The 14,631-nt window shown below is 40.7% G+C and overlaps 1 protein-coding gene across 11 annotated transcripts in view; it reads right to left on the bottom strand.

The window, feature by feature from the left end:
* Nucleotides 1-14,631, bottom strand: part of MME (membrane metalloendopeptidase) — a 159,528-nt gene that overhangs the window by 92,271 nt on the left and 52,626 nt on the right. Inside the window, exons 1-4 of one of the 11 annotated variants that reach the window (NM_001354644.1) lie at nucleotides 10,993-11,448; nucleotides 7,132-7,301; nucleotides 6,365-6,400; nucleotides 959-1,625 (exon numbers count right to left, since the gene is read on the bottom strand). In NM_001354644.1, the coding sequence (NP_001341573.1) occupies nucleotides 1,579-1,625; nucleotides 6,365-6,400; nucleotides 7,132-7,291 (243 nt within the window). In that variant the 5' untranslated portion in view covers nucleotides 7,292-7,301; nucleotides 10,993-11,448 and the 3' untranslated portion in view covers nucleotides 959-1,578. Of the gene's footprint in view, nucleotides 1-958; nucleotides 1,626-6,364; nucleotides 6,401-7,131; nucleotides 7,302-7,416; nucleotides 11,590-11,702; nucleotides 11,788-14,631 lie in introns of those variants that run through there. The other 10 variants (NM_000902.5, NM_007287.4, XM_047448157.1 and 7 more) reach the window with 10 other exon arrangements.

Raw genomic sequence — 14,631 nt, 5'->3', positions numbered from 1 at the left:
ATTGCTAATTGTCTTTCCCTTTAACTGCTTAACTCAACTTATATATGTTTTCAATTTCTTGACCATTCATTAAAAAATGATGGTGTACTACTTGCTTAAAGTTTCCCTGGAGGGTAAAAAACACATGTTATATATTTGTGTATTTATGATATAACTGATTCCCTTTCTTGGAAAGGATCTGATTGACAGATGCTAATTTTGACTGGATAAATGTAAGGTAATATCCCTACACAATTTTCACGAGAATTGTGCCAGGGAAGCCACACAAAGCAAATTGCCACATGCCACATTTAAATTAACAAAGGTGTGCTTCAGTGGTCTTCCTACTAAGATGTCTGCTGCTTTCTTATTCCATGAAGGATTTTTTCCAAACTTAACTACATAATGAAATAGCCTCATTTCCTACACTAAAAGGCTGCTACAGGGCCAGTAGCCCCCATGAGTTAGCCATCAGTCCTTCCTGTATTTACCTAATTGTGCTGTTTTCCTTCATGGAGGTTTCAAGGTGTTAACAGGCAAGAAGGCAGAGATGCCTTGTGACAGCCAGGAGAAGGCTAGCTGTTGCCAAGATGCATCACCTAGGGCATCACCATGATCTGGCCCTTGCAGACATTTGCAAGCTTCATTTCAGTTCCAGGGTCATAGCTCAAAGCACACAAATCTGATTAAATCAGTATGTGCGTACAGTAGTCTCCCCCATATCTGTGGTTTCACTTTCCATGGTTTGTTACCCATGGTCAACTACAGTCCAATATATTAAATAGAAAATTCCAGAAACAGACAACTCATATGTCTTAAATCACGCACCATTCTGAGTAGCATGATGAAAGTCACGAAGGAGCCTTCTCCATTATTATCATATCAACTGTTGCAGGATGATGGTGTTTGTGTTCAAGTAACCCTATTTTACTTAATAATGGCCCCAAACCATAAGAATAGTGATGCTGGAATAATATTATAATCGTTTTATTTTTTATTAATTATTGTTATTAATCTTTGTCTAATTTATAAATTAAACTTTATCATAGGTATGTATACAGAAAAAATATAGCATATATAGGGTTCAGTCCAGTGTCAGACATCCACTGAGGTCTTGGGGGATCCTCAGAGGATAAGAAGGGGACCGCTGTGCATTATCTCACCATGATGAAAATATCTTTCAAGTAACAGAATGCCACCTCTCCTTGTATTAATAATTAAGTAATCATCAAAAGTTTTCTTGGTATGTGCAGAATTAAAATAAAAGGAGTGGACAGTTCTGAGAGGTGTTTCATCCAGGTCTTGATGTTCCACAAGCCTGTCTGTCAAGGCTGCCATCGACAAATATGCAGTGTACAACCTGCATGACTATACAGGTGGAGGTGGTCCCACTTTCTCTTGTAAACTGTATTGATCACGTCTTAGCTTGGCTTCTCTGGCCTCTGGATAATTTAGGACCACACTTCTAACATATGCTTCTGCAGACCCCTCAATTCTCTGTTGTCTTTTTCTTTTTTTTGGAGATAGAGTCTTGCGCTGTCTTCCAGGCTGGAGTGCAGTCGTGCAATCTTGGCTCGCTTCAACCTCTGCCTCCTGGGTTCAAGCAATTCTCCTCCCTCTGGGATTATAGGCGCGTGCTACCATGCCTGGATTTTTGTATTTTTAGCAGAGATGGGGTTTCACCATGTAGGCCAGGCTGGTCTTCAACTCCCGACCTCAAGTGATCCACCCGCCTTGGCCTCCCAAAGTGCTGGGATTACAGGCATGTTGCCATATAAGGCAACATATTCAGAGGCTCTGGGAATTGGGTGTGAATATCTTTGAGAGGCCATTATCCTGCCTACCGTTAAGAGGGAAGCATTGATAACATCTTGAGACCGTTTAAACCAGTGGTACCCAGTCATAAGTGACCGTGCTGCCTGCAGGGGACATTTAGTAATGGCTAGAGACATTTTTTGGTTGTCACAACTAGGAGAGGACTGCTACTGGACATCTAGTTGGTAGAGGCCAGGGATGCTACTAAATATCCTATAATACACAGAATAGCATCCACAACGAAGAATTATCTAGCACAAAAATATCAATAGTGATTGAGTTGAGAAACCCTGATTTAAAGCACAAGATTCCTTGAAATCTAAGTTAGGGAGGTTACAATGCAATGGAAATCAGTTTCAGGATTCAGACTTACACGGAAAAGTCTGCAAAATCACATACAAGTTTTATAACTCTAAGTTTTTGATGACCTTATAGGGTAAATAAGCGATGAATAATACTTTGAAGCATTTTGATCCCTGCCTTAAGTTGTTATTTCTTAAGTGGTATTTGTTTTACTTTAGGTCTGGTGTAATCTTTCATACTGATGCATTACACATATAGGCAAGTTAATTTAAAGTATACATAAACATCATTTTATGTACATCATAAATATTTAAATCCTAGATGCTCAGATTTTAAATATGTAACACCAAACAGATTTGAAACAGCCTTCTGCAATATTTTACTTCTGTCTTGGTATGGCTTGACTTCTGTATTCCTTGACTTCAAAGAATCAAAGATAAGTACATTTGCTATGACATTCCCTTCCACTGGAAGAAAGGTTCAAGTTGGGGCCATCTTTCATATAATGTAAGCACCCTGAGTGTCAATACTTGCTTTTCCCATTCTCAAGAATTTCTGAGCTCAGGTTTGAACCCACCCACTCTCTTAAAGTGACCTATAGACTTGCTGGTAAGATATTTTATATTTTTTCAACATCTCTCTTTTCATATTTCTTTCTTTTCTTTTTTTTTTTTTTTTGAGATGGAGTTTCAGTCTTGTTGCCCAGGCTGTAGTGCAATGGCGCAATCTCAGCTCACTGCAACCTCCACCTCCTGGGTTCAAGCAATTCTCCTGCCTCAGCCTCCTGAGTAGCTGGAATTACAGGCATGCGCCACCACACCCGGCTAATTTTGTATTTTTAGTAGAGATGGGTTTTCTCCATGTTGGTCAGGCTGGTCTTGAACTCTCGACCTCAGGTGATCTGCCCGCCTCAGCCTCCCAAAGTGCTGGGATTACAGGCGTGAGCCACCGTGCCCAGCCTTCTCTTTTCACATTTCTTTTTCTTTCCATCTACTCTACTCTGGCCACTCTTCTTTAATACTTGCTTTTGTCCAAGATTTCCTCTAGGGTTTTCCTAATTTGCAACAACTTCTAAAAGAAATAGTTGTATTTTTCTGTGGCAGAAAAGATTTCCTAACCAGCAGAAGACTGTGTGTGTGTGTGTGTGTGCGCGCACGAGTGTGTGTGTTTATGAGTATGCAGAGTGTATCCATGAGGGTGTGTGTCATCTTATTTATTCTCCTAGGAAGAATAGTAACTACCAATGTGAACAAGTATTCTAATGGCTTGTGAACCAACAGAGCAGAATGAAGAAAAATATACAGCTATACAGCAACCTTGTTTACCACTGAAGTTATTTCTATTGTATACATTTCTCTGCCAAGATACATCCTGCAAGGTGTTTTACATTTGGTTTGATTTCTAAGCTACAATTAAAGGATACAGGTTAAATACATTTTAGTGAGTTGAGACTTGCCAAACACTATTTAAAAATCCTATCTCTAAACATTAAGTCACATTTAAGATTCCAGATTCTGAATGTCACATTGCTCCTTGGGAGGAAAAACCTGCCTAGATCTCTGAGGCAAAATCACTTGTCGTTTATAGAAATACACCTACCTAGTCAAAAAATCCAGTTTCTTCGAAAATAAAATTCAAGGAAAAGAAGAGAAAAAGGAAAAATAGTGAGAGAAGAGAGAATCTATAGATTAAGATACCAAAGAGACATGTCAAGTGTATTAAAGACAGAGGAATTAACCCTTAGTAGTCAATATGTAAGTGGAAGTTTCCCGAAACAGGACAGCCTGAGCATATAATAGGGTAGCTGGTAGAGAGAGGAAGCATAGGAGGATCTGGGGAGGAAGTAAACGTTAACTTTGACAACTTGGGCACATGCTGACTTTTGCACATGACCACGGAGATCCCCCAGCCAAGGTACCTGTGCAGCCATTTCCCTGGGGAATAAAGAAACTTCGTTTTTGGGAAAAACTTACTATGTCGAGCAGCAAATGGCTAACATCTAAATCAAGTCTCCCTCACGCTCCCCACATCACATCTCAGGGTGTCTAGTCATTGCTCTTGTGACCCAGAGCAAAAAAATCCATCAAAAAACGATACAAAAAAAAAAAAAAACCAAAGGGCACAGATTCAGGATATTAGACTATAACCTAGAATTGCCAGATATTTTCCCGTCATTTTTTTGCAAAGTTCAGTGAATAACAAAAATCCAAGTAAAGAATATCCAAGACTGGGTGCAGTGGCTCATGCCTGTAATCCCAGCACTTTGGGAAGACAAGTAGGAGGACTGCTTGATCTCAGGAGTTCAAGACCAAGCTTGGGCAACATAGTGAGACCCTGTCTCTACAAAAAAAAAAAACAAAAAAAAACAAAAAAAACAAAAAACCCACAACCTAGCCAGGAATGGTGGCAGGTGCCTATAGTCCCAGCTACTCAGGAGGCTCAGGCAGGAGGATGCCTTGAGCCCAGGAGATCAAGGCTGCAGTAAGCTGTGATCACAATACTGCACTCCAGCCTGGGTGACAGAGCAAGATCCTGCCTCAAATAAATAAATAAATAAAATTAAAAATATCCAGCAGAAAATGGTTAAAATTATTTGGAACAGTTTATTTATTTCTTATAAGACACATAGATGTTAGAAAGGAGGTTTAGAATCTCTTGTTAAAGGACACAAATATTGTGTTCATATCCCAGGTGCTGCCCTCAGCTACCACCTTCCTTTTTCTTGAAGAAAGAAGAAATACTCCCATTTTCACCACACTCCAATTGATGGGATTTATATAGCTTCATACACTTCTCTGTTTTCTGCTCTGACTTATTTTTCTTCTCTTCTAATCATTGATGTTGTTTAGCCCTTGAACCTCTTCTTAAGTTTAGCCCTTGAACCTCTTCTCTTCTTTTGAGAACTCAAATACTTCCAAGGCTTCCACTATCACTCCTAAACTGACAGATCTCAAATCCAAATTCCAGCTTCTTAAACCTCATCTCTACCTTCCTCCTGTCTATTTTCATCTTAGACCAAACACATCCACATCCACCTCATAACCTCTCTATTTCTGTGTGGGCTGCCTCCATTCTCTTTAGTCCCTTGGGTTTTAAAACTTGGCATCATTCTCAATTCATTCATTTTATTTAGCAAGTCAGTTCTACTGAGTCACCCAATTCTCCCTCCCCATTATCTCAATAGTACTCTTCTCTCACCACAGGCCAACCTCTTCAGCTTACACTTGGAGTACAGAAGCAGCCCCCACCTGCCTGCCCTCCTTTTCACTCAATCCAGTCAACCTCACATTCGCAGAATCATCTTTCACCTTTGGCCTGATCACTCCTCTGTTCAAAAATATCTGTTTCTCCTGTATTACAATATCAAGGCTAAACATGGATTTCAAGGTTCTCCATAATGTGTCCTTCTATCAAGCGTACACTTTTACTACTTCTCAATAACATAGTTTCTTTCTTTTGTGTTTGGAATTCCCTCTTCTGCACCGCCACATCTAAATTCTAGCCCTGCTTCAAGGTTCTTCCCAAATTTAAGGCTGGGTGCGGTGGCTCACGCCTGTAATCCCAGCACTTTGTGAGGCCGAGGGGGGCAGATCACCTGAGGGCAGGAGTTCGAAACCAGCCTGATCAATATGGTGAAACCCCGTCTCTACCAAAAATACAGAATTAGCCAGGCGTGGTGGTGGGTACCTGTAGTCCCAGCTACTTGGGAGGCTGAGGCAGGAGAATTGCTAGAACCCGGGAGGCGGAGATTGCAGTCAGCCGAGATCACGCCACTGCACTCCAGCTTGGGCGACAGAGCGAGACTCTGTCTCAAAATATAAAAAATAAAAAAAATAAATAAAATGAAATTTCTTCCCAGATTTTAACTTCTCCACCTAGATTTACATGCCTACATCTCACTCCCTTCTTCTCACCCACCTAGTGAGGTGCACTGAGACATTTAACACAATGATACGAAACTTACCATTTCATATGTGTTCATTTTCTTTCTTCAACTACATGGCAAGCTCCATACAAATAGCGATATAGTTTTCTATTGCCCTGCTATACAGCCCAGGGCTGAAAATAGTAATATATTTTTCAGAGTAAACAAGTTAATTAATCTACTACTTAAATATATTTTTATTTCCATTGATTATAGAGCCAGACACATAAATAATTGATCTACAATGAATAAAAGTGTAAACAAAGCAAATTAAGATTAGCATTTAATTTTAAATATTATACATCAGTTGTATAACTATTACACGTAAAAACCATTTCTTACCTGATTTTATGCAGTCTGATGACTTGCAAATACCATCTAGAAAAAGGAGAGAATATACATAAATATTGGCAACACAAATTTTTAAATTTCTATTTTTCTTTTGTTCTTTTAAAAACTGCCAATTAAATAAGCAATTTCTTAAAGCAAGAACTAAAAACTGAACATTATATATCATTGTCAGTGGTTAGAAAAAATATAAGAAAATAAAATAAGTAAAATCTAAATTTAAAATTTTGATTATGAAGAAAAATGTGTTATTATATCTTCTCTACCAACGAAGCCCCAGGCCTATTAAATTGAAATAATCAGTTGTTTTTGCTTGGTAATCATTTTTTTAACCATTAAACAATCAATCTTTTTTCATCCTTGTTGTAAAAAACTTCCAAGACTCAAATTAAATTTGTTAAATTCCTGTGAAGCCGTTTAGAATTTCAATGACACAACAAAAGTTGACTAATGACTATTACTAAAGCTGGCCATAAAATTGTGTATATTTTAATCAAATAAAACCATACTTTAGATTCCTCATAAGTAAGCGTGAGCGCACTAAATATACTTGCAATTAATAACTTAGCTCAAACATAAAAGGCACCGTACTTCAAAGTTAATTATTTTGACATATTGATGTTACATTTTATAAATGAATCTCTTTGTCAGTCTTTAAGTGCCTCTATCCTTAACACATTCGTTGGATAGATGGTAAAAGCATGGAGGAAGATTTCCTTCTCTTTTGCACTTATGGATGCACAGGTGTGGGAGTAACTCACCATCGTAGGTTGCATAGAGTGCGATCATTGTCACAGCTATGATGGTGAGGAGCAGGACAAGGACCGAGAGGCTGATCTCCAGTGGAGTCCATCGCTGTTTCTTCTTTGGCTTTGGAGTGTTGATATCAGTTATATCCATCTGACTTTCTGACTTGCCCATCACCTAAAATCTGCAAAAAATGAAAATACTAATAATGAAAAACAAATAAATAAAAAAGAAAATGTCCAAATGCTTAATGTGGCTGGATAAAAGTAAAAGGCTCAGTTATTTTAAAATAGAAATACATTTTTGCTGTTGAGAAGTCAAAATTTTGTTGCTGAATGCAAAGTATATAGAGCCAAATGAATTTGACAGGTCTCAGTCACAACCTTTTGTTTTTTGTTGCTGTTGTTTTGTTTTGTTTTGCTTTGGTATATCACTGAAAATCTCAGCAAAATTAGACAGTAAGACTTGGTTAAATACTCAAGTAGGATTAATTCAGCAGTTTATAAGCAAATAATTGCTGTACCATCATTAAGAAAGTTTTAAACTCACCCTTTTGAACTCTGGACTAACATCAATGGTTAATTTTATATCTTGCTCCAGTGGCTTCCTTTATAAGCTCAAAAACCAGTGACTAATACCTTGAGGTTTTGACTAAGCAATAATTTGAAATATTAATATAGATAAACAGCAAAACGAATGAACACATGAAGTAGTTTATTTTAGTCATAAAAACAACCTTTATTTTTACAGTTCAAAATTACTACTACTACTGATACCAGTATCTATTAACTGGTTAGACAACATTCTGAAAATGGTCACTCACTGTACCAAAAGATACCTGAATATCCAACCTAACCACGCCCAATCCCATTTAAGAGGGGAGTAAGGGGGATAAGTAAACAAAATAGTACAAAAAGTTACCAAGTTGATACTTGTAGTCCTGTATAAAGCAGGGTATGCAAAAACATACCTGTATTCCTAAAATCTTTCACCTCAACTGGAGATGTGTTAAAAACTTTAAACCAAAAAGTGGACACTGCCACAGAATAGAATAAAGAATTAGGAAACTGGGGCACAGAGAAGTCAGGCAACGTGTTCAAGACTACACAACTCGTCAATATTCTTTGTAAAGAACACATTTGGTCACTGTTCAAAATAAAGCTGTATCATCATGCAGTAAAAGCGTACTGTAGAAATTTAGGGGGAAAATTAAGGGGATATAAGCCTAAATATTAAATTTCATCAGGGGCCTAGTGACACTTTATCAGCCAGTCTCCAAGGATTAGAACACACAATTTCCATTTTTCTGCATGACTGTATAAAAGAACATCTTAAACTAGCAGATTAGCTGTTTATAGCTCAATACAAATTGCTCTTAGAATTTGGTCCCAGGATGAAGTGGCGGCTCAGAAATGCTCTTATAGTTAAAGATCTTTGTTGAACACACACAATTCTCTAAGGGTGTGTTTTGTGGAAACTGAGGCATAGGAGAAAGAAGAAACATATTCTACATTTGAAGTATGGTCTGGGAGACCCAGCAGAAAACTAGAAATTAACCTTCCCAGTGAATTATTAATAAGCGAACCACAGCTAGACCTTAAAGTTCTGGATACAAAGTCTTAAACATGCTGTCCCCTTGATTACATGAGGCTATAAGCAAGGACAGACTATCAAATAAAAATATTTTATTACACAATGAAAACCGTGTCTGCTAAATAAAAGTGGAATGTAATGTACCTGAATGTTAAAATGTCTTACTTAATGGTTATGTAAGGCATGCTGGCTTAGTCTCACCACCCCTGGGGTTATGATATGGAATTGCATTGATTGTAGTCCTATTTTAATAGTGTATTGGTTGGGCAAAGGAAAGAGGGGAACAAATTTAATAATACTCTGGACACTTTACAGAGAGGTAAACAATAATAATTCTCCCAGTCTCCCCATGTTTCATGACTGTCCTAAAGAACACCTGAATGTTAAGCACATTTGCTAAAGTATTTCCCTTTCCTGAATATTGTTCCCCCCGCATATGTCAGAAGACAATGTAGAGAAATGTTTTACTGGTATAAAAGGACTTTTTTTTTTCTTAGTTCTTCCTTAGAAATGACAGTCAGTGTCCCTGTAAAGTAAAGCGAAGGGGTGAACCAGGGCAGCCTCAGGGTTAAATTACAGGTGCTCTGTGGAAACTCCATGCCTTGTGGTGTAGTAAAGCTAGTGGATAAGCATTTCTTTCTCCCTGTAAGTTACTTTCCCTTGGCTTCTCCTCCTTACCCTTGAGACTGGGTACTGAAGCAGCTGGGCTCTTAATGGGTCAGCACCCAAGTTTGCAGAAACAGTTACAGAGAAATGAAGACAGTGACAGAAGCTGCATCAAAACAATATAATCTTTGAATCACCTGCAAAGTCTTCCTCCATCTCCCCCTCTTGTAAATGCCCTGTAAATTCTTAAAGGAAGTCTTTTGCTCTTAGTAGCCTTTTTTCAAAAGCATTGAGCAAAAGCAGAAATGATGCAAGTTTAATCTCCTAATTAACTTTGTCGTTCATTTCCAGTTAATTCTGGAAGGTTCACAATTTTTCTTTAAGACATCAGGGGACAGTATCTGGAATCTCACTGTGGAACATATGACTAAACCCCAAATACCTGAATATCCAACTTAACCACACCCAATCCCATAGAGAAGAGTAAGGGGGACAAGTAAACAAAAGAATACAAAAAAAAAAAAAATACCAAGTTGAGGCTTATAGTCCCATATAAAGCAGGGTACGCAAAAACATACCTGTATTCTTAAAATATTTCACTTCAACTGAAGATGTGTTAAATAAAAAGTTTAAACGGAAAAGTGGACACTGCCACAGACGAGAATAGAGAATTAGGAGGTCTAAGATAACAAGAACCTGCAAACTTCAGCTCGACAATATTACCAACAGAATAAATTACTATTTTAAGTGTAAGCTTAATTTCAAAGCAATGTAAAGCAGCAATTCTTATACCAGTTGAGCATAAGCATTACTATATCAGACAGTCAAAGCAGGAAACCTGGATAACTGATTTGTTAAAAAGGAAATCTCATTGACTTACAGACTTAGACTTAGCTAAGCAGTTTTCATCTTCACTGCACATTATAACATTAACTTATATCTGCAGGTTCCTGAAGCTGTGCTATGCAATTACAGTTTGTTCTATGGAAACTGAGGCACAGGAAGAAGGAGAAACAGTTTCCATATTTAAACTGTGTCTGCAGAAGCTGAGGACAGAGGTACTCAGGATAAATCATCTTCTTGTTTCCCAGACATTAATTAGGTGTTTCCCAGCCTGAAATACGGAGTTCTGGACACGAAGTGCCAACCATATTACTCCCCTGGTTAGTGCTGCTCTACAACCAAAGACACAGGGTTAAGTCCAAGAAATTACCAGACAATTTTTTAAAGTGCTAGAACCCACAAAAATGGCAGGGGATGAAGCTACACGCCTTCATACAGTCGATTTGCCGACAAGCACTTTCCAAATGCTGACGCTGCAAGTCAGGTACTAGTTTTCAGTTTAATAAAATTGCCATTTGAATCATATATGGGGGAGGAATCGACTTGATCGAGAAGCTAAAGAGGGATATTTGGTTGCAATTACCCTTATTTTGAAACCAGACAAATAGACTGAAACCAGTTAAGAGGTCTTAAACTTTCATCTACAAAAGGACACACCAGCCCCGCACCGACCAACCCTTGTGAGATTTAAGCATTAATTATATAATAGGAAATCAGGTTAAAAGCAAGATGAAGAGGTGGGATAATGAAAAGATCTTCCGGTTAAGAAAAGTAAAAATAGAAAAGTGAGTTACAAATGAGAAAATCCGACAGAAACCAAAATGAAAACAAACCTTGCTTTTTAAAAAGAAGAAAAAAAAATCAGTGTCTGTACAGCAGAATGGCAAATTCCCAGCCCCCAAATCAGCCCCGGTGCAATCTGGTAGCGCGGATCTCGGTAACAAAACATAACTCCCCAAGGCAGAGGCCGCAGGGAACTATGGAAATGAACCTGAAGAGCCAACCTGACGTGACTTCCAGAGCCCTCCTCCAGGTCACCCTCTGGGCCCCTCTCCCTCCCCTCACTCTTCAGGTCCCAGTAGCGGCTCCTTCCCAGGGCACGCCTCCTCCACGGCCGCAGGGTCCTGGGCGCTCGGATCGCGCTGGACCTTAGCTGCGGACCCTGCTCAGCGCACCTCCCGGCAGCCGCTCCCCTCGGCTGGCTCTGCCCTCCCCGTGCCCGTCCCACGGGCTCCCAGCGCCCTGGGCGCTCGCGCCCTTTGGACCTTTCTCCCTCAGCTCGCTCTCCTGGGACTCACCAGTGGGATTCGGGAGAAGTTGGAGGCTGCTGAGCCGACACATCCCGACCAATGAGCGCACGGGGCCGGGTGGCAGTGGCGGGCTGAGAGCCCAGCCAAGCGCCTCTCAGTCCGTGCATCCGCCCAAGGCGCGCGGGCTCCAGGCTGAGGCCGGACTTGGGGGAGGTTCCGGACCCGCCTCCGCCCGGGCCGTGGGGCGACGAGGCACCTGGGCATCCCTCCGACCCGCACCCACAGAGACTCACCGTGACCCCTCAGCAGATCCCGCGCCAGGAGTTGGGCGGCTGCTCCAGCCTGCTCTCGGTCAAGCTTCGCCACTTGCACATCTCCGCGCCCCGCGCGTCTCGGCGCTCTCACGGCCCACCCCCCCCACCCCCTACCCCGCCTCGCCGCTGCAGGACCAGAGAGAGGAGCAGTTCCCTGGGTGACCTGAAGGTTTCCGCTAGGTCTCCCAAATCCAGTCACTTCATGTGAGGGGGCCGGGGAGACGGGGGGCGGGCGGTGGCAATGAAAATGTCCCATCCTCCCCACCCCCCATCTCACCATTCCCAAAAGGGCTTTGCTAAACATTTTTAGAATTGCTTAGCTTCGGGGCTTTCAAGAAAACAATACACGGGCTCTTCGGGATTCTCTAGTCCTGAGGGGGCTCCATCTCTCCCCTGTGGACCGGAGACTATAATGCTTGCCTCTTCTCACGCTCTTCTTTCGCTCTCTTTCCCGCTCCCTTTCCTCCCTGAATCCAAGCTTCCTTCCTTCTTCATTTAAATGTCCTCTCTCCCTCCCTCCTTCGTTTTCTTTTTTCTTACTCTCCCTCCCCGTTTCCTTCTTTCCTTCCTTGCTCCTGCTTTCTCCACCCCGCTTCCCTCTTTCTTCCCTTTCTTTTCCTTGGTCGAAGTACTCTCATGTCAAGATCTGAACTGAAACTCTCCGCTCCCACCTCCTGACTTCAGGGAATCTTAAAACGTGTGTACATCGGAGGTTGAGGGTGGGGAGTGAGAAAGAGAAAAATAAACTAAAGTGTGTCTGCTCTACCTACTGAAATCAGCCGTAATGCGCCTGGACCCTCACAGTTTAATGCAAGCAAGCAGCGTACCCCTTTCACTCAAGACACAGCGATTCCTCCTCAAAGGGGTAAATACAAACAAGGAAATAAATACTTTAGGCACAAAGGCAGTTTCTTTGTAAAAGCTACCTTTAGCAGCTATAATTGCCAAGGAGCTCAGAGGAACTAAACTTCCTTTTTTTTTTGCTTCCAGTGTACAAGTACCTTTAATACTGATCCCTTTCCTCTTTTGAATCACAGGTAATTACACACACACACACACACACACACACACACACATACACACACATATTCACACTCCACTGCGGAATTCATACTGAAATAAAACTGGGTTTGCAATTATCTGTTTTTAATATCAAAATGATTTGCTGCTTGAGAAGAGTCCCCTTGTGCTAAAAAATTTTCCATCTTTTTCATAGCAGAGAAAGCTGAAAAGCAAGGAGAAAAGGTAGTTCATCCTAATAAGTGGAATACAATGGAGAGACATTTCCCCAAAAAGCTAACCAATCTTTAAATAATTCGATTAATATAGAGGAAAAATGGAGTGTGTAGACCTAACAAGTGCTATTGACGTCTATTTACGCTTTCTCTGTGCATCTTACAGACACTATTTAGTCCTCACAACAATCCCGAAATATTGGTGTTTTCACTCCCACAAATAAGCATGCGGGGCTTGACTAGCGCCCTGGAAAGCATCTCAACTGGAATTTTTTTTTCCTACAGAGTCTCGTGCTGTCGCCCAGGCTGGAGTGCAGTGGTGTGATCTCTGCCTCCTGGGTTCAAGCGATTCTCCTGCCTCAGCCTCCTGAGCAACTGGAAATACAGGCACGCACCACCACACCGAGCTAATTTTGCTTGCGTGTGTGTGTGTGTGTGTGTGTGTGTGTGTGTGTACTTTTACTTTCGGGGTTTCTCCATATTGGCCAGGCTGGTCTCAAACTCCTGGCCTCAAGTGATCTACACACCTCGGTCTCCCAAAGTGCTGGAATTACAGGTGTTAGCAATCATGCCTGGCGGTGAGGACTCTTTTAAAGGAAAAAAAAGGATTTACTTAAAATGTATGACAAAAGAAAAAAAAAATGCCTACTTAGAGTTAATTTTAGACTCTGACTTTCAGCTGATAGTCGACAGTATGGATTGGTAACTGGTTTCCCAGAACAAATATTTTTTTCTTTTTCTCTTTTCTTTCTGTTTTTTGTTGTTGTTGCTGTTGTTCGTTTTTTTTTGTTTAGATGAGGGTCTGACTGTGTTGCCCAGGCTGGTCTCTAACTCTGGGCTCAAGCAATCCTTCAGCCTCAGCCTCTTAAGTAGCTTGGACTACCCACATCTCCCTTACAATATCTTGATTTCATTAAAGTTGATTAGAAACTTAGGGTTTTTGTTGTTGTTGTTTGTTTGTTTGTTTTTAAATCAAGAATGCTAAATCTCCTCCCAGAAGTTTGTGCAAGTTTGAGATAATTTTTTTAAGGGATCTTAAAGAGTCCCCAACTATTTACAGTAAGTAAATTTAGACAACTGAGGCTTACTGAGGTGGTCCAAGATCACTCAGTTTGGCCACTTATAGGAATGGAGGAGAAAGTAGCCCTCCTGGTGGCCATACATAAGTTATTAAGAATGGAATGCATTGGTTCTAGCAGTTTGCAGAATGGATCCTTAAAAACCACTGTGTGTGACACAAATGCTTGATGAATTTTTTTAAGTCCTTTAAAAATGCTATAGTGCATTTTTATATGCACCATTGAGCCAGCAGGCAAGTAAAAGAAAATCTTAGAAGCCAAAAACAAAGAGAGCTGTCAGAGGCATTTGGACCAGAGCAACTCCATCTTGAATAGGGGCCGGGTAAAATAAGGCTGAGACCTGCTGGGCTGAATTCCCAGGAGGTGAGACCTTCTTAGTCATACGATGATGTAGGAGGTCGGTTGGCACAAGGTATAGGTCAGAAAGACTGTGCTGATGAAACAGGATACTGTAAAGAAGCCAGCCAAAACCTACCAAAACCAAGATGGCCATGAAAGTGACCGCTGGTGGTCCTCACTGCTCATTATATGTAAATTTTAATGTATTAGCATGCTAAAAGACACTACCACCAGTGCTATGACAGTTTACAAATG

Source organism: Homo sapiens, chromosome 3 (assembly GCF_000001405.40).
Source record: "Homo sapiens chromosome 3, GRCh38.p14 Primary Assembly".
Classification (NCBI taxonomy): domain Eukaryota; kingdom Metazoa; phylum Chordata; class Mammalia; order Primates; family Hominidae; genus Homo; species Homo sapiens.
The sequence above is the reverse complement of the archived record's forward strand: the minus strand, read 5'-3'. Positions and strand labels throughout refer to the sequence as shown.